This window comes from Homo sapiens, chromosome 17, assembly GCF_000001405.40.
Source record: "Homo sapiens chromosome 17, GRCh38.p14 Primary Assembly".
Lineage (NCBI taxonomy): Eukaryota > Metazoa > Chordata > Mammalia > Primates > Hominidae > Homo > Homo sapiens.
This window is the reverse complement of record NC_000017.11, coordinates 21,274,539-21,291,687: the sequence shown is the minus strand read 5'-3', so window position 1 is coordinate 21,291,687 and position 17,149 is coordinate 21,274,539. Positions and strand designations below refer to the sequence as shown.

At 55.9% G+C, this 17,149-nt stretch overlaps 1 protein-coding gene across 8 annotated transcripts in view, besides 10 other annotated features; it reads right to left on the bottom strand.

Annotated features, from left to right (window-relative positions):
* MAP2K3 (mitogen-activated protein kinase kinase 3) overlaps positions 1-6,977 on the bottom strand; it is a 30,530-nt gene extending 23,553 nt beyond the window's left edge. For 4 of the 8 annotated variants that reach the window (XM_017024859.2, XM_047436408.1, NM_001316332.2 and 1 more), the window contains exon 1: positions 6,719-6,977. Coding sequence is in view for 4 of the 8 variants with exons in the window: in XM_047436408.1 (XP_047292364.1) it covers positions 6,719-6,767 (49 nt within the window). In the remaining 4 variants the exon portion in view is untranslated. Of the gene's footprint in view, positions 1-3,596; positions 3,653-6,361 lie in introns of those variants that run through there. The other 4 variants (XM_011523959.3, NM_002756.4, XM_017024857.3 and 1 more) reach the window with 3 other exon arrangements.
* Positions 2,929-4,128: an enhancer, noted in NCBI's record as "P300/CBP strongly-dependent group 1 enhancer chr17:21190872-21192071 (GRCh37/hg19 assembly coordinates)". NCBI's record gives its function as "activates an origin of replication core promoter dependent on BRD2, BRD4, P300/CBP, MED14 and CDK7 cofactors, with strong dependence on P300/CBP, by STARR-seq in HCT116 cells {active_cell/tissue: HCT116}" and the evidence as "EXISTENCE:reporter gene assay evidence [ECO:0000049][PMID:35650434]".
* Positions 3,462-4,057: an enhancer, noted in NCBI's record as "H3K4me1 hESC enhancer chr17:21190943-21191538 (GRCh37/hg19 assembly coordinates)". NCBI's record gives its function as "activates a minimal SCP1, AML or CMV promoter by ChIP-STARR-seq in naive H9 embryonic stem cells {active_cell/tissue: H9 hESC(naive)}" and the evidence as "EXISTENCE:reporter gene assay evidence [ECO:0000049][PMID:30033119]".
* Positions 3,529-3,618: an enhancer, noted in NCBI's record as "active region_11885". NCBI's record gives its function as "activates an Ori minimal core promoter by ATAC-STARR-seq in GM12878 lymphoblastoid cells {active_cell/tissue: GM12878}" and the evidence as "EXISTENCE:reporter gene assay evidence [ECO:0000049][PMID:35858748]".
* Positions 5,269-5,328: an enhancer, noted in NCBI's record as "active region_11884". NCBI's record gives its function as "activates an Ori minimal core promoter by ATAC-STARR-seq in GM12878 lymphoblastoid cells {active_cell/tissue: GM12878}" and the evidence as "EXISTENCE:reporter gene assay evidence [ECO:0000049][PMID:35858748]".
* Positions 6,989-7,518: a silencer, noted in NCBI's record as "silent region_8319". NCBI's record gives its function as "represses an Ori minimal core promoter by ATAC-STARR-seq in GM12878 lymphoblastoid cells {active_cell/tissue: GM12878}" and the evidence as "EXISTENCE:reporter gene assay evidence [ECO:0000049][PMID:35858748]".
* Positions 6,989-7,905: a biological region, named in NCBI's record as "H3K4me1 hESC enhancer GRCh37_chr17:21187095-21187595".
* Positions 7,405-7,905: an enhancer, noted in NCBI's record as "H3K4me1 hESC enhancer chr17:21187095-21187595 (GRCh37/hg19 assembly coordinates)". NCBI's record gives its function as "activates a minimal SCP1, AML or CMV promoter by ChIP-STARR-seq in naive H9 embryonic stem cells {active_cell/tissue: H9 hESC(naive)}" and the evidence as "EXISTENCE:reporter gene assay evidence [ECO:0000049][PMID:30033119]".
* Positions 11,602-11,681: an enhancer, noted in NCBI's record as "active region_11883". NCBI's record gives its function as "activates an Ori minimal core promoter by ATAC-STARR-seq in GM12878 lymphoblastoid cells {active_cell/tissue: GM12878}" and the evidence as "EXISTENCE:reporter gene assay evidence [ECO:0000049][PMID:35858748]".
* Positions 15,660-15,969: a silencer, noted in NCBI's record as "silent region_8318". NCBI's record gives its function as "represses an Ori minimal core promoter by ATAC-STARR-seq in GM12878 lymphoblastoid cells {active_cell/tissue: GM12878}" and the evidence as "EXISTENCE:reporter gene assay evidence [ECO:0000049][PMID:35858748]".
* Positions 15,980-16,179: a silencer, noted in NCBI's record as "silent region_8317". NCBI's record gives its function as "represses an Ori minimal core promoter by ATAC-STARR-seq in GM12878 lymphoblastoid cells {active_cell/tissue: GM12878}" and the evidence as "EXISTENCE:reporter gene assay evidence [ECO:0000049][PMID:35858748]".

Below are 17,149 nucleotides of genomic sequence, written 5' to 3'. Positions count from 1 at the left end.
GTCAGATCGGTGGGACTCTGGCCCCAGGCTCCCACACTGTGGGGCAGGCCCCATGCTCAGGCTTTAAGAGGCCATGACAGGGCAGGGGGACCCACAAGTGATGCTCAGCCCTCCCAGAGCATCAGAAGAATGGGACATTCCTTGCACCAGGATCGTAGGCTGTGCTCCAAAGGTCCCCACGTGGGCCCGGCTCGAGGTCAGCAAGGCCATTGCCAGCCACCTGCACTGTCGACAGGCCAGTGCTGCTGCTCCTGCAGAACGGAAAACAAACCTGAACAAACGCCATCTGTGCTTCACTGTTATCACTACGTGTTGTGTTGTGTTGTGTTGTGTTGTGTTGTATTGTATTGTACTGTATTCTATTGTATTCTATTGTATTGTATTCTATTGTATTGTATTCTATTGTATTGTATTCTATTGTATTGATTGTATTGTATTTATTTTTGAGACGATTCTCTCTCTATTGCCCAGGCTGGAGTGCAGTGGTGCGATCCCGGCTCACTGCAAGCTCCGCCTCCCGGGTTCATGCCATTCTCCTGCCTCAGCCTCCCGAGTAGCTGGGACTACAGACACCTGCCACCACGCCCGGTTAATTTTTTGTGTGTTTTTAGTAGAGACGGGGTTTTACCGTGTTAGACAGGATGGTCTCGAGCTCCTGACCTCATGATCCACCCGCCTCGGCCTCCCAAAGTGCTGGGATTACAGGCGTGAGCCACCGTGCCTGGCCTACTTCTATTTTTTTTAAACAGACAGGGTCTCACTCTGTCACCCAGGCTGGAGTGCTGTGGCACTCATTGCAGCCTCAACCTCCCAGGCACAAACGATCCTCCCACCTCTGCCTCCTGAGTAGCTGAGACTACAGACGTGTGCCACCATGCCCAGCTAATCTTTTATGTTTTTTGTAGAGATGAGCTCTCCCTATGTTGCCCAGGCTGGTTGTGAACTCCTGCCCTCAAATGATCCTCCTGTCTCGGCCTCCCAAAGGCTGGGATTTATCATTACTATTAAAATCTTACAAAGCATGGGATTGATGATGAGACATACCAAAAACGGGGTTCTTGGTGATGGAAATGCTAGCACAGACATCAGGTTCAAATTCAGTGCTGTCTGGTACCTAGGGGCTCCCTGGACTTGCCAGGTCTCATTCACCCTCAACAGCAGCCCTGAGAGGTAGGTAGGGAGCTGGCCTAGAACCAGCCCTGCCACCTGGAAGTCCCTGCAGACTTTCCCAACGAGTGTCTGCCCGCGCCACCCTGGGGTCTGCCCCAGCCATCCGGGATGCCGTGTGCCATGCCAACGGCAGGAGGCTATGGGTTGACCAGAAGGCTAAGCCAGGCAAGAGCAGAATGACAAGGGGATGGGAGCTGTCTCCATCCCCATACCCAGAGCCGTCCTGGGCAGGCCTCCAACGTGTGCCTCAGCTGCCAACTGACACCGCCAAAGCAACCCTCCCAGGCAGCAGTGCTCCCCAGCCCCCACACACCTCCTGATTAGGTCTGAACACACCGCTGGCATCCACAGCCCCTCGCAGCCCTGCCCCAGTGAGGCAGCCCCCTGGCCTGTCACCGCATCACCGCACACACTGGCACATGTAAACCTTGGGACGGGCCTTGGAAGCCCTTGGGGGCATCAGCACAGTGATGCAGGCAAGGACAGTCAGGGCACTCGATATAGCCGCCAGGAGGTGTCAGCAGAGCCAGGTGCAATCCCGGCCATGGGCCACATGGCAGGAGGTGGTGCCGGCCACCCTGGGCAGGGGACCAGCTGGGAGAGGGACAGCTGGACATGGCCTCCCCAGAGAAACCAGGGAAGGTGGCCCTGGAGTGCAGGGCAGGGAGGTGACAAGGACATGTGCCCAGGACTGGGGTCAGGGGAAGAAAGTCTGGGGCCCTCTCTGGAGCTGCCGCAGTCAGGCTTGGTATCTGGAAGCTGCAAGGGGCCCAACAAACTGCTTCTGCCTCCCCTGGCCCTGTATGGCCTTCATGCCCCTGGCAAGAGGCTGTTTGAGGTTTCCAGGGCCACTGCTTCGGGGAGGCATCTGCAGAAGCCACTGGGCACACAGGCCTGATGGAGGTGGGCAGCGCCAGGAGGCGCGGACAAGGGCAGGCGTGGACGGCATGTGGGCATCAGTCGTGGGGCCCTGCCACAATGCTGTGTCCTCCATGCTGCTGCCCAGCAGCCCTCCTCTGGGACCCTCCCAAGACACTGGCACCCAGTTGCTCCCCTCAGCTTGGCCCACCACCCCCCAACACCCCTGACTCAGGACTGAGCCCCTAGAACCATGACCCCAGGCCCTCTTGCTTCCCGGGCTGGCCCAGGGGCCTGAGTTCTAATTCCCAGTCCCACCCCACCTTCCCCATATTCGTCCTGTTAATGCTGCATGCCAAAGCCAGGGGCAGGGCAGGCCTGCAGGAGCAGGCCCCAGCTCTCTGTTCCCCACTCACCCTCCCAAGGGAGGCCCAGGAGGCCAGGGGCAGTCCCCAGCCCCACGTTGGGGACCAGTGGGTTAAGAGGCCCTAAAGCCTGGTAAATTCTGGCCTGCGTGAAAGGACCCTACAGCCAAGAGGCCTCATGTCACAGCGCCTACGAGCACATTGTCACGAAGCCCTGCTACTGTTTATCCACCTACCAATGAACTACACCCACAAAAGTAACAATAATAAAATAATAACAGGTGCCATTCACTTAACAAATGCTATCTTCAATCTCGACCACTACCCTGCAAGGGAGCATGTTTACTCCCACTTTACAGAAGAGGAGACTGAGGGCTAAAGAGGGCACAAGACTTGCCCAGGTAAGGAAGTAGTGGAGCCAGGATTCGAACCCAGGGCCATCCCAGCAGAGCCCAGGACCCCCGGCTTCCTGCCTGACAGAGGCATGCCTCGGCTGGGTTCTCTGCAGGCAGAGGGCAGTCTCACTATGACTTGTGCCTGACACTTAGCAAGTGTGGAATGGAACTGTCTACATCCAGACAAGCAGGGTCCCCATTCTCAGTCTGCAGATGAGGAAATGGAAGCTTCTCCTCTGAGAGCTGGGCCATGCCCAGGGGACAGAAATCATTTACAGAGTGCAGAGAGTGGACCAGATGCAACTTGTCCCACGTCACATCGCAAAAGGGACAGAGCTGGGGTTTGGACCCAGGCAGTCAGGCTCTGGAAACTGAGGTCTTAGCCTCTCCACATCACCATCTTCCAGGAGCTCAGGCCGGGTCCCACCCCAGCCGACCCTGCACCACCTCTGCTCCTCACCCTCCCTGAGTCCCAGCTGCACAGCTGAACCTGAGGTGTCCCCTGGGCCAAGGGTGGTAAACAGTCACTGCCACCTGCTCCTGCTCTGTGAGCAAGAGGAAGCAGAGCCCCTTGCCTAATAGAGGAAGTTCCTGGGTGGGGCACAGAGGGCCTGCCCAGGGGTTCCCAGCCCAGTCCGAGGCCCAGGAAGGGGCCACCTCCAGTGCCCCAGCTCAGGGCTAGGTGCCACCTGCAGGACACGTAACCCCCTCCCCACCCACCAGGCTGGCAGGCATCGCCCCTTTAAGCTGTAGGCAGCCGGCTGGCATGCCCAGCGGGTGAGTCAGCACCCAGTGCCCGCTGACTCACCGCCGGAAGCCTCCGCTGCCCCGGCCTTCTCCTCACACGGGCCAACTGAGAACTTTGCTCCCTTTGGGCGCTGGGCCATGGGTTGGCTGACAGAGAGTTTCCTGTGCGTCACAAGAGGGGTGGGGGAAGTCCCCGAGGTGCCACCTCCAGTCTTTCCGACAGCCAGGGGTTGGGGGGGTGGCCACAGCAGGCAGGGCTAGGATACAACAGTGCTCTATGAAACCTCAGTGTCACCATCGGGCAGTCAGGAGTCCTACAGCCACAGTCCAAGCTGTGTGAAGATTAGCCATGAAGTGCTCCCACAGGTGGCACTCTTAGGGCAGAAGGGGCAGAACCCATGTTCTGAACGACAACAGGACACGTGTGGTACCCTCCAAGGACAAATGTGGCTTGCACACATGCCCCCACCCACTGGCCCCAGCGCCAGCCACTTGGCCTCTAACCCCAGCCAGAGATGGCCATGTGGGCAAGGAGGCCAGGGGAAAACCAGCAGAGCTGTGGGCCTGAGGGCCTCACACACTCATAGAAAACTCCCCAGGCCCATGGCATGGAAACAGTGCAGGGCACCTGCTGCCAGGCAGGAAGCTCAAAGGTAAAGCTCCAGTAAGGTCAAGCGCCAGCCACTCCCTGCTTTGTTCAAATTCCTTTGAGAAGGTGGAGAAGGGATCAGTGCTGGGAGGCCCAGTGCCCAGGATGGGGTGGGCACAGAGTGAGGCTCTCCACCTATGGGGGCAGTCCGGCCACTCCTCCATCCAAGCTGAGTTCTGCATCTGTCAAATGAGTGGGATTTTGCAGCGAGAATGCAACAGGCCCAGTGTAAAGCGCTGTGCACAGGAGAGGCATCACCTCTGCCTCAGTCTGTCCTCTAGGTCTGACGTGGCCATGAGGACAGGCCCACTGCACATGCTCTGAGCAAGGCCAGGGGTGGGGGCACCCCACCAGCTCAGCTCAGGCATCCAGCATGGGAGGGGCACATAGGGGAGCACGGGGAAGGCCACTGTGGAAACACAGTCCTAGGGGGAACCCTAGCTCCGCCTGTCACAGCTGTGTGGCCTCAGGCAAGGCACTTAACGCCTCAGTTTCCTTATCAGTAAATGGGGCTATGAGGAATAAATGAGAAAATGCATGGCACATGGAAAAAAAGAAGGAGCTCATAGGGTTTTTGGTGAAGGGCATTGTGGCTCTGCCACCACATCCTTCCCCAGACCCCAAAGAGACTACAGAGTCCCTGGGCCTGAGGGAGGTCCCTGACCCTCCATCCAGCCCCCTCAACCTCATCTAGGACCTGGGTCCACATCTAGAAGTTCATTTTGGCCCTCTCACAGCATTCTCACTGCATCTATGACCCCTCTCCTTTCACAACTCTGCAACTGGAACTTTTATTTTGATGAGGCATTCTCTGCCTGGAGAGCTAAAAAGCCTCCAAAACAAACAGTGCTTCCTACCCTTCCCCGAGCTCTCCAGAGTGGAGAAGTGTCTGATTTCCTGGTTCCCAAGCTCCACGAGGTCTGTGCAGTGCAAGTCCCTCCCCAGACACCTCCCCCGTCGAGTGCCTCCCGAGTTACTCACAGTGGTTGGGCAATGGTCAGGGATCCGGCCTCCCACTTATGTAAGGCATAATTATCCAGCCCACCCGGCTCCAGCCACCATAGCAGCCAGCAGCAGGGGCCAGGAAGAGCCCATGCCCTCCCCAGGCCCACATAGGGCTCCCATTGGCCTGCACCCTCCAGAACAGAAGAGCGGCTGACCCCTGATGAAGTGCCCACTAGGTGCCCGCTGCTAGGTGCTTCCTCCTGCTCACTCTGAGGCTGCACTTCCAGCAGTGGAGGCCTTTCCAGCAAGAAGAATGGAAACAATAGCGAGATGTGTGCAGCCAGTGTACCCTGGTGAGCACCGGCTCTGCGCCAGGTGCTACGCTGAGAGAACGCCTCAGAGCTCTTTACTATTCACCACCCCACACCACACTCCCACGTCCACAGAAGCAGGTGCGATTACTTCCAATTTACAGAAAAGGAAACTGAGGCCCAGAGACACCAGGGAGCTTGCTGGGGTGAAGCAGCTGCAGGTTCAGAAAGCCAGGAGGCAGCCCATTCATTACGGCTATGTCCGGTTTGGAAATCTCTCGCACAACCCAGCCTACTGAAACTCCGACGCACCAAAAACATCCTTTCCTCTTCCTGAAAAAAAAAAAATTCCCCTTTTGCCCTCCGAGTTTCATCCTTCCCCCTCCGCATGACAAATCCTGCTGCTGCCACCTCACAAAAATTTCCAGGAAGGCCAGCTACTTGGAGAAGAGCAAATCCCTTGCACAGCCAGCACCCTGGCCTGGCGGCTGGCCCAGATCCCAGGCAGCCAGGACAAGAATAAGATGGGGTGAGAACCCCCAGTGCAGGGAGAAGCTTGCAACTCAAGACAGAGAGAGGCCGGTAGAGAGGGGGCTGTACCTTAGGGAGGGGTGGGAGGACAAGGAAGGTTCCTGGGAGCCCAGGGCTGCAGGACAGGGTGCAGGCCAGCCAGGGAAGGGGCAACATAGGGCCTATAAGGATAAGAAGAGCTGGGGGAGAGAAGGACGGGGAGTTCCGAGCTGGGGTGTAGCCAGAGCACCCGCATAGGGGGTACAGTGAGGTCCGCAACAACAGGAGCACTCTGGGGCCCAGATGGAGACTCAAGTTAAATCCCAACCTGGATACAGCCCTGGGACCCGAAGCTAGAAATGGGACTGGGTGCTGCCCAAGGACCCAGGTGAAGGCCAGTGTGAATCTCACCTGGGTCCCGCTGAGGGAGAAGACTGGGAGAGTTCATGTCCAGGCTGCAGCCATAAGGCCCAAATGAGGTCAGAATGAGGCTCCTGACTTGGATGGGGTGAGCAGAACAAAGTCCTAGTCTGGGTCCAGCCTGGGTGATCTCGGGCCTGAGTGCAGTCCCAAGGCCTAACGTGGGGGTCCAGGTGAGGGCCCAGGCGGGGGCTGGTCCCGGGACCCCGAACAGGAAGGGGTTCCGGGACCGGACGCCGCTGCCAGGTCGAGAACAGGATGGGGTGGGACCAAAGAAAGGTCGGGGTTTGCAGCCCGGCCCCAGATTAGGCGCGGGGTCAGGCCGAGGTCCCGGCCGGGAGCGCCTACCTTTGGACTGGGGCATGCTGGCGGGCTGGCTCGAGGCGGGCGACTCCATGCTGCAAGTGGGTCCTGGACGGCGGTGGAGACTAATCTAGAGGACTGCGGGCTCCACCGGGGCCGAGCACGCTCATGGCTGCGGGCAGACGGCCCAGGCCAGGCGGAGGAGCAGCGGCGGCGGCGGCGGCGGCGGCGGCGACTGCGGCGAGGACTGCGGCGGCGACTGCAGCAAGGACGAGTCCGCGACGGGCGGCGCCGGAGACAGACTGGGCAGCGCCGGGGAGACCCCGGCCGAACTGCGCTGACTCAGGCCCCGCCCCTGCGTGCCCGATTGGTCCTTTCGTTTCCAAGGCCCGTCCTCTGCCTATCAGACGCCGGCCTGTCCCTGCCTGTCAAGCACACGCCCCACCCTCCTTAGGCCCAGGATCCGGGCCCCTCCCGCTCTCTGTCAAGTCCGCCAGCCGCCCGAAAAACCCAGGTCCGGTCAGGCTCCGCCCCCTGGACTAAAGCCGCGCCCCTCGCGCTGCCCGTCAACATGCAAGCCCCACCCACTCCCGGGACCCACTGAGCCCGCTGCTCCCTGCAGGCGCCCAGGCCCAGCCCGGCACCCCCAGACCCGCAGCCCCGGCGGGTGCGATGCGCGGGCGCGTTCTCCTGGGTGCGTCGTCTGGAAAAAACCCGAGATCCCTAAAGGTGGCACGGCTGGGCCTGCCGAAGTGGGCGGGGGTTAAAAGTGCGCTGCTGGGCTGCCTCCTGGCTCTCTGAACCTGCAGCTGCCTCACCCTAGCAAGCTCCCTAGTGTCTCTGGGCCTCAGTTTCCTTTTCTGTAAATTGGACCCGGGTTCGGATCCGAGTCGGCAGCTTTGTAGCGGAACTAGCCTTGGTCAGGTGGTGACACCTGAGCCTCAGTCTACGCATCTGTGAGCGGGCGGCGGTGACAGCTATCTCCCGGCGCTGCTCGCTAACACGCACTGAGGGCCTGGCGCCAGCAAACGTCGCCCGCGCCCGCGCTCCAGGCGCCCGGCCAGGGCGCGGGGTCGGTGGTGAGCTCAGCGATGCCCGGTGACGAGGCAGCACGAGGAGTTTTCGTGGCTGGTTACTGCTGCCCCTGTTCTACACAGGGGGAAACCGTGTCTCAGAGGGAGTGAGGCGGCATGCGGTGCATTTTATCCCGCGAGCCCCGAGGCCCCATCCTGGCTCTCTCCTGGACCTTCGTTCTCTCCTCTCCTCCTAGGATCTCAGTCTGCCCATCTGCATAATGGCTGGATGGGCCAGTCCTCCCTCTGCTCCCACACGGAACCTCGGGGGATTTCAGGAACCGCTGACCAATCTGGCGCTGGGAACAGATGACTCTGGATGTAAAGCCAGGGCTAGTGAAGGCAGAATGTACCAGGCAAAGGTCAAGGGGTCAGCCCCTGGCCTCCAGGCAGACATGTGTACCCTGTCAGGGACCTCACGTGAGGGAAGCAGATTCCACCACCTGCTAGAAAGGCTTGAGGCCGGGCCTGACCTCTGCTTGCCCAGGTGTAAAGTGGGGGTGATGCAGGGCCCCATGCACAGAGTGGGGAGCCACAGGAGATAAGAGGGAAGCCTTGCAGCCATCACCATTCTCTTCCTGCGTCTCCTGTTCACCCTTCCCAGGCAGTGGGATGGAAAATCATGAGTCTGGGGCTCAGATAGGTATGGGTTCCAATACCAATTCCTCCACTTACTAGCTGGATGACCTTAAAGAAGTCACTGAGCAGCTCTGTGCCTCAGTTTACCTATCCCATGGGGACAATAAGGTCTCTGAAAGCGTTTCATGAGTTCAGGAGTGGAAACACCTGGCCTAGGGCTTGGCACTCACTAGGTGCCCAGGAAATGTGAGTTTGAAAACACTGTGGGCTGCCTCCATCCTTGCCATATCATCCCTGGTGACCTGTGCTTATCCGTCTGTAAAATGGGCATCCAGGAGCAGCTTCCTTTCTACCAGAACTGCAAGGCTAGTCCAGCGAGTTTTCTGGGTTCAGGCACTGGCCAACAGCCTTGACTTCTGCACAAGGCCACACTCCGCCTTGTGCACTCTGCTTCTTGGGATGTTCAAGAGTCTCAGTATTGCCCCTCAAATGTGCCAGGGATGGTCCTGCCGCAGCAGCTTCACCCTTGCTGCTCCTGCCCAGAACATTCTTCCACTCAAGCCTCCTGGGGCTGGTTCCCTCTCATCCCTCAGACCGCTTCCTAAATGAACACCCCTAAGAGGCCTTCTCATCATGGTCCCCAGACTGAGGCACAACACTTATGCTGCTGATGTCTTTGTTACTGACTCAGTTTTTAACACAGCTCTCCCTCCAGACCATCCGAGCCTCATTCCCTGCTGTGTTCCCAATGCATAGCCCAGAACCAGGCACATAGTAGGTGCCTGATAAATATTTGAGGAATGAAAAAAGGAAGGAGGAAAGCATCCACAGACCAGGGTGAAGCGACTCCAGTCCCGTGCCAACCTCCTTGGCGGCCAGATGACTCAGACAGGCCCTCGCATACAAGGAGTTTGGGGATTAGTCAGGAGCCCGATAAACAGCTCAGGAATCACAAAACTCCATGTGAGTGCTATAAATAGATGCATGAGCAAAAGTCCCAGGAGGGTGCCTGGGTGATGCAGCCATCTCCATCTGGGTGGGGACAAGGAAGGCCTCTCAGAGGAGGTGATTTTGAGACTGGACTTTTAAGGACCAGTAGGAGCTTACCAGGCAGAGAAGCAAGAAGAGCATCCCTGGAAAGGAACAGCAGAGGCAATGGGTTGGAGATGTAAAAAGGGCCACACATGAGGACCAGGTGAGGGCCAGACTGGGATGCACAGCTGCACCACTGGAGCTCAAGAAGTACCATCAAGAACCATCAGAGACAAAGGTCTCTTGCTGGCTTGCTATAGTGACATCTCTTGATTTCTTTCTGTCTGTAAGTGGCACAGTCAGATTGGGGAACTCCATGACCATGCAGAAAGCAGAATAAATGTTTGACATGGGTCACAAGAGGCTGCCTCTTACCTTGATTCCTAGGAGAAAAGTCCCAAACCTGCTCTCTGTGGATGCAGGAAACTGAGTCTCTGGATGGGAAGGATTGTGGCCAAAGTCAGGATGCAAGCATGATCTGAGGTGGGCAGGACCTGGGGTGACAGAAGGCTGTAAAGAGAGGCTGACTCAATAGCATTAACTATAAGTTTTGTGCTTCCAAATCACTTTTTGGTTTTTAAGAATTTCTTGATACTATTGTAGCCTGCCTTCGATTTTGATCCTTTATTCTTTCTATTTGTCAGGTGCACAAGATTACCTTCCTTTTTTAGCCTTCTGTCTTGTCACCAACCATTCCTACTTGGTGGCCATGTACTTGGAAAAAGGCCGCATGATCTTTCTGGCTCCAATCAATGTCTAAGGCACCCTGCTTCCTTTGCTTGCATCCCACAGACTATTTCCCTCATCCTATTTACTACAGCAAATCTCTCCTTAGTCGATGAGATTGTGTTTATCTCCCTTTAAAACCCTACCTATCCTGAATGGTCTGTCATTGTCTGCCTTTAAAATCCTTCCTCTTTCTTCTTCCTCTATTCTTTAAATAATGATGGGGCTAAGTTATACCCAAAGCATCACTTTACAAAATATTTCCTCGGTACTTTGCAGAAAACACCAAACAAAAATGCCATTTTAAAAGAGGTGTATTTTTTCTTTTAAAATGTAAGCTCCTCAAGGGCAGGGAAATGTTTTCTGTATGTTCTATTGTGCCTAGTACACTGTAAATGCTCAATAAATACTGATGATGGGGGAAAAAAAAGAGAGAGGCTGACCCAAACCCAGGATGTGGGCAGCTCCTTCATTCATTCAACAGATATTCATTGAGCACTTACTGTGTGACTGGCACTGAGAACACAACATTGAACAAGATGGACACAACTCCCTGGGGAGGTATGACCTGGTGTGTGAGCCAGACAAGCAAAATGCCTAAGTCAAATTATGTCAGGCCAGGCATGGTGGCTCACACTTATAGTCCCAGCAGTTTGGGAGGCCGAGGCAGGTGGATCGTTTGAGCCCAGCAGTTTGAGACCAGCCTGGGCAACATGGCAAAACCTCGTCTCTACAAAAAAAAAAAAAAAAAAAAGTTGGCTGGGTATGGTGGCATGCTGCTCAGGAGGCTGAGGTGGGAGGATCACTTGAACCCAGGAGGTCAAGGCTGCAGTGAGCCAAGGTTATACCACTGCACTCCAGCCTGGCGGGCAACAAGACCCTGTCTCAAAAAACAAAAAATTATTACAAATGCTATGGGGGAAAGTAGGGGAGGGGACAGGGTGTGTGTCTGGACATGGGGGCTATAATTTTAAGGAGGGAGGTCAGGAAAAGCCTCCCTGGAAGGTGCCACATAAACAGAGACCAAAGGACTTAACGGAAGGACCCACAAAGAGATCCGGGGGAAAAGCATTCCAGGCAGAGGGAACAGTTGTGCAAGGGCCCTGAGGTGGATGGCTTGTAGGCGAGTAACAAGGAGACCGATGTGGCTGGGTGGTGGGAGCTGAGGAGTCCCTGTTCTCACCTATATACACCCCCTTGGACGTACTCACTCCCACGTGCCCCTTCACACCTGTGCAAGTCCACACACCCCAAATACACATGCACACACACATGACACAAGGGGGTGCACAAGTGTGTACGTTCATGTGGAGGGACCACATGGTCACGTCCACAGACACAACCCACAGGCACAGCGGTGCACATGGTCTATGCATAGCCTTGCCACCAGCTGGGGCCTCCACTGCTTGCTGCCCCACAGCGCCCTCTGGTGACCAGGGCCCGGCAGTGCTCTAGAGTGCCCAGGAGCACAGGATCCACTGCCCTCACTGCTTTGACGGCCATCCAGCCTCCTCTTCTCTGTGCTGCCTGCCCCCAGGCCTTCCACACTGCAGCCAGAGCCTTCCCAAACACGGCTGGCCAAGTTCTAAGTCCTGCCCTGGCTCCCTAGGCGGGCAACTTCCAACACTCCAACCCCTGGTGACTTCTCCAGACATCCCCCAGTCCAGCCACTCTGAATTCAAGCTTTCCTCTTTGAACCTTTCTTTGCAAAGGCTGTTCCCTTAGCCAGGAATGCCCTTCCCTACCTTCCGACCTGACACATTCCCTCCGCTCCTTCGAGGCCCAATTCTGAAGGTGGGACAGGAGGCCCTGCCTGACACTGCTCTGCCCAGTGCCCCTGCCCCAGCCCCTCTCACCATGGCTCACCCGCCCTGTCAGTGGCTGCGCCCCTGTCTGCCTCTCCCATACGACTCCTGCTGCTTGAAAGCAGGGCCTGTGACTGGTTCTCCCCAGAACAGCATCAGGCCATGCTGGTGATGGTGGAAAAGTGAAAACTTGAGAAGCTTGGAGGCAGCAATATGTGGTTCCTGAGCATCTTTTACTCAGGGGCCGGTTCTGAAGTCGAAATATAGAGAAGGAAACCTCAACGGAGGCTCACCTGCTTTCTTTAAATCATCATCACTCTCAAATATCAAAAGATGAATTCACACAAGTGACTGGCTCCACTAGCAAAACAGCAAGTCCTATTTTTACAGCTCCTACTATGTGCTAGTCCCTCCAAGCACAGCATCTTATGGACTCACTGTGATGCAAGCTGCACGGGGGCAATGCCTTTGCTTTGGTCACTGCAGTGTCTCCGGCACACAGTAGGTGCTCAGTGAATACTTGCGGAGTGGAGGAAAGTTTTCAATGTCCCAACGAGGTGTCTAGTATTATCATCATCTCCACTAAAGAGATGAGAAAATCGAGGCTCAGAGAGGTGCCCAGAAGCATCCAATACCGCTGGTAATGGCAGAGCTATTGTTTGAAATCTGTTCTGTCAGATGGAGATAGTTTTCCCTGCCTTTTCCTGCCCACACTTCCACTAAAGTGTTTTGCAACACCCTGCTTCCGAGCAAAACAAACTCCCCTTGAGCTCCCTTCACTGCTTTCTGGAAAGCCACCAGCTCTGCTTCTAACAGAGCAGTTGAGTCTGGCCTGCCCGGTTCCCTGCAGGGTTGCACGAACAACCCTGTGGCTGTCCCCAACACCAGTCCAGGGGTCCAAGGAGCCTCAGCATGGTGTCTCCCTGCCCAGGGTTCTCAAACTTAGCACTTCCTGCCCAGCAGGCAGGAGGCAGTCAAGGGGACAACACTTACTGGCACCTGTTGCATGCCAGGCCTCGTGACTTGACACACATCCCAGGGAAGTGGGTGTGGTTAGACTTTCATCTTACAGATGAAGAAACAGAAGCCCAAGGCTTCAAGCGCTTGCCCAGGTTCCACCACCAGGAAGGATGACACCAGATTTTTAACCCAGACCATCACTGTAACAGCCTACTGTGTGTCAGCCTTTTTAGTTCAATCCTGTGCTTCATTATCTAGATGCCAAGACCACAGGGCTGTTCTTATTGCCCCATGATGGGTGAGAAGTACTGCAGACACAGAGATGAAGCAACTTGCCCGTGAGATCACACAACCAGGGAGAAGAGAGGCAAAAGCGTCCCAATGGGGCTGACTCCACAACACGGGTGCATCCAGCATATCTGCCTTCAAAGTGCTGTTTTCTAATCTAGGCCAGGAAGTAGCCAAGTAACCGTGAACCAATGAGTTGTCTCAGCCAGGCCTTGGAGGTCACCCTGTCCGTTCCCATCAATGCTTCTGTCCCTTTTCGGCCATCCAAGCCTGGGCTTATGTCCCTCCCACGATGAGTGTCTCACCCTTTCATGGCAGGGTCTTTCGTTCCCAGTAAGCTTGGACCATTATCAGCTTTTTTTTTTTTTTTTTTTTTTTTTTTGAGACGGAGTCTCACTCTGTCACCTAGGCTGGAGTGCAGTGGCGCAATCTCAGCTCACTGCAACCTCCGCCTCCTGGGTTTAAGCGATCCTCCTGCCTCAGCCTCCTGAGTAGCTGGGATTACAGGCGCACACCACCACACCCGGCTAATTTTTGTGTTTTTAGTAGAGACACGGTTTCACCATGTTGGTCAGGCTGGTCTCGAACTCCTGACCTCGTGAGCTGCCCACCTTGGCCTCCCAAAGTGCTGGGATTATAGGCGTGAGCCACCGCGCCTGGCTACCACTATCAGCATTTTCTTAAGCAATCCTGAAGTTGTGTCACGCTCAAACCCATCCATTCGTTCCATATGCTTCCTGAGCATCTGGTTTTGCCTGACATTATGGGAGGCACTGAGGATACAGTGAAAACCAAGACAGAAAGGTCCCTGCCTTCATGGGGCAGTGAAGACCTCCTGCCTTTATGGGGCAAGCCTTCTAGAGGAGCTTGAGAAATAAGGCAAATTCAGCATGGATGAACATAAATCTATAAAATAATTTCGAAAAGCCGTAAGGGCTATGAACCAAAGTAGAGCTGAGTGATGTAGCAGAGAAGCACTGGGTAGTCAGGGAGACCTTCCTGGAGGAGGTGTCTTCTCTGCTCAGGCCTGGGTGACAAGAAAGAGCCATGTGAAACTGGGGATAAGGGCTGGCTTAAAATAGGCTGTGGCACATAGTAGATGCTCAGAGTGAGAGGGACTTCTAGCTAACATGGAACTAACAGGGATATTTTTCTCTTTTCCCTCTCCAAACCCCACTAAGATGACAATATAAGGAAAAATGTTTAAGTCGCAAACTTATAAAGAAAGTCAATGACAAAGAAAGTCAATGGCAAGGACAAAAAGTCTACAGAACTTTTCCTTTGGAGACAGGGTCTCTCTCTGGCACCCAGGCTGGATTGCAGTGGCGTAATCTTTGCTCACTGCAGCCTCAACCTCCTGGACTCAAGTGATCCTCCCGCTTCAAGCTCCAGAGTAGCTGGGCCCACAGGCGTGCGCCACCACACCCCACTAATTTTAAATTCTTCTGTAGAGACAGGGTCTTGCCACGTTGCCCAGGCTGGTCTTGAATTCCTGGACTCAAGCGATCTTCCTGATTCAGCCTCCCAAAGTGCTGGGATTACAGAAGCGAGCCACCGCATCCAGCCTACAGAATTTTCGAAGCTGGAAAATTAATAGTAATCACCTAGGCAGAGTGGAGGAAGCTGCAACCAAATTCTGCATGTCGAGGGAACCATTCAAGGCCAGAGGCCCCCCAGATACATAGCCTGGGAGTCACAAGGTCCCTCTGGAAGTGGGGGGGCAGGTGGGGACAGAAACAAGATGAGTTCAGAGCTTGTAAAAACAGCACTTGTGCCTTCCAGCTTCCCAGAACCGAAGGTCATGTCTCCAGATTTGAAAGGATCCACTGAGTGTCCAGCTTGATGCAAGAAGAAAACAGGCTATTATGAATTCCCAGGAAAACAAACAACACAAAATGGAAAATGTTGTCACAATGTACTGCACAGCTCAGCTGGGAACAATATTTACATAACCATAATACTGTAAACACCAAATACTGATGCATCCCAAAACTGATGAAATGAGTCTTGGAGCTCACAGGAGGTGAAGCACAGGGTTCATACCTAAGAGAACCAAATCCTCACTGAGTGTCCATGGTAGAGAGCCGGCGGATACTGCCTAAAATAGCAAATAAATAAAAGAATCGCAGTGTAGCATGAGACTGAGAAATAAGGAGGGAAGAGCTCAAAGGGCCGAAGAGGTGCTGCTGCCGTGTCGCGGCGAAGAGGTGCTGCTGCCGTGTCGCGGCGGGACTGGGTCTGTTGGGGGGCCACGACCCGGGCTGCACTGGCGATGCGCATCCTGCGGGTGGGGGTGGCGGGTGGGGCAGACCGCTTCGCCGTCGCCACCTTGAGCCCTGCAGACCCGGGCTCCCACCGCTCCCTGCGCCACTGCCTTCCTACAGACCAAAGGTGGCTGCAGGGAACTGGAAAGGCCCACGTGTCCCCAGCACACAAGACCGAAGGAGCAGAGAAGCAGAGGAGCGCAGGGACACAGAGTGAGCAGGCCAACCCAGGTCGTCGAAGTTCAAAAATGGGGTATTTTTAGAGAATGTTAAGTCACTCGGGGACTCTCCGGCCCGCCACAACCCCCTACACAGCCGCGCAAGCAAAGGCGGCAGCGCAGAGACGCCGCGGGTACCGCCCGGCCACGCCCTCCAGCCACGCCCCCCAGCCCGGGACGGAGTCCAGGGCGAGCCTCTGATTGGCTGCGCTTGCTCACATGGCCGCGCGGGCTGCAGGGCAAGCTGCAAGGGCGAGTGTGCGGCTGCCTTCAGCTTTTCAGCCGCGAGTGGGGTGGTGTGGAGCGGCGGGGTCAGCTCAGGGCAGGCGGATGGGGCGCATGTGCCCAGGGCAGAGCCCTCCGGCCTTGGCTGGGAGAGTGGCCTTCGGTCCCAGGGCAGAGCTCAGCCCCCAGGGCCGGGCCTCCCGAGGGCCGCGGACCGTGGGGACATGGGGCAGGCGTGGAGCCGGACCCGAAGCCAAGCCTTAGATCTGTGCGGGCAGATGCGTGGCCGAGGCTGTTAAACCGGTGCTGTAAAGGCCTCGTTTTCTCTCCCTGAGCGGCTCCCCACATCCCCATGCTGAGAAGAGGCCGCTTCTCCTCTCCCGTCAGCTGTGCCCCCGGGTGCAGCAGCTACGGGTCCAGCCCTTTAAAGGTTGAAGACGATCACCCACCCCATGCTTTCCCAGCAAGGAACAGGTCTTGCTTTTATGAGGGTAGAGAGGACATTCAAGTGGTCGGTCTTGGAAAACTGCCATCCGAAGGATTGCAAACATTCTTGGGGGGAGAGAAGAATTTGTCCCCGGGTGGAGGAGGACTGCTGGGGGCTCGAGGCCGCTGATGAAGGGAATTCATTTCCTCTCCCGGGTGCCCAGGATTCAGACTGATCCAGACATCTGTTGGGCGGGCAGCCAGTATGCCCCCGGCGTGCTTAGAGAAGTGGCTTTCTTTGCCCTCCTGAGGATAGATTTACACAGTCCTGAGTCTGCAGGTTATTTTTTGTGCATGGGGACTTGAGAGCCAAGAATAGTCTGCAGCAAGAAGGATGCACCGTCTTCAAGGCTGCCCCTCTACAACAGAGCAAGTCGGCGGGGCATGGTGGCTCACACCTGTAATCCCAGGACTTTGGGAGGCTGAGGCAGGCGGATCACCTGAGGTCAGAAGTTTGAGACCAGCCTGGCCAACATGGCAAAACCCATGGTTTTTTTAGTCTCTACTAAAAATACAAAAAAATTAGCCGGGCGTGGTGGCGTGTGTCTGTACTCCCAGCTACTCGGGAGGCTGAGGCAGGAGAAACGCTTGAATCCGAGAGGCGGAGGTTGCAGAGTCCACCTTGCCCAAGTGATGTGAATGGCTTGAGGCAGGAGGAAAGGCTGTGAGAACCCCTGCGGCAGTCGGTGCAGGGCAGAGAAGGAGCAGCCTTGGACTGGGGATCCTGAGTAGTCCTGTCTGGGAATGGAGGGCACTGAATTGGCACCCTCCTTGGAGGCCACATGGCCCAAACATGGGCATTTCTGCTGGTGATGGGATC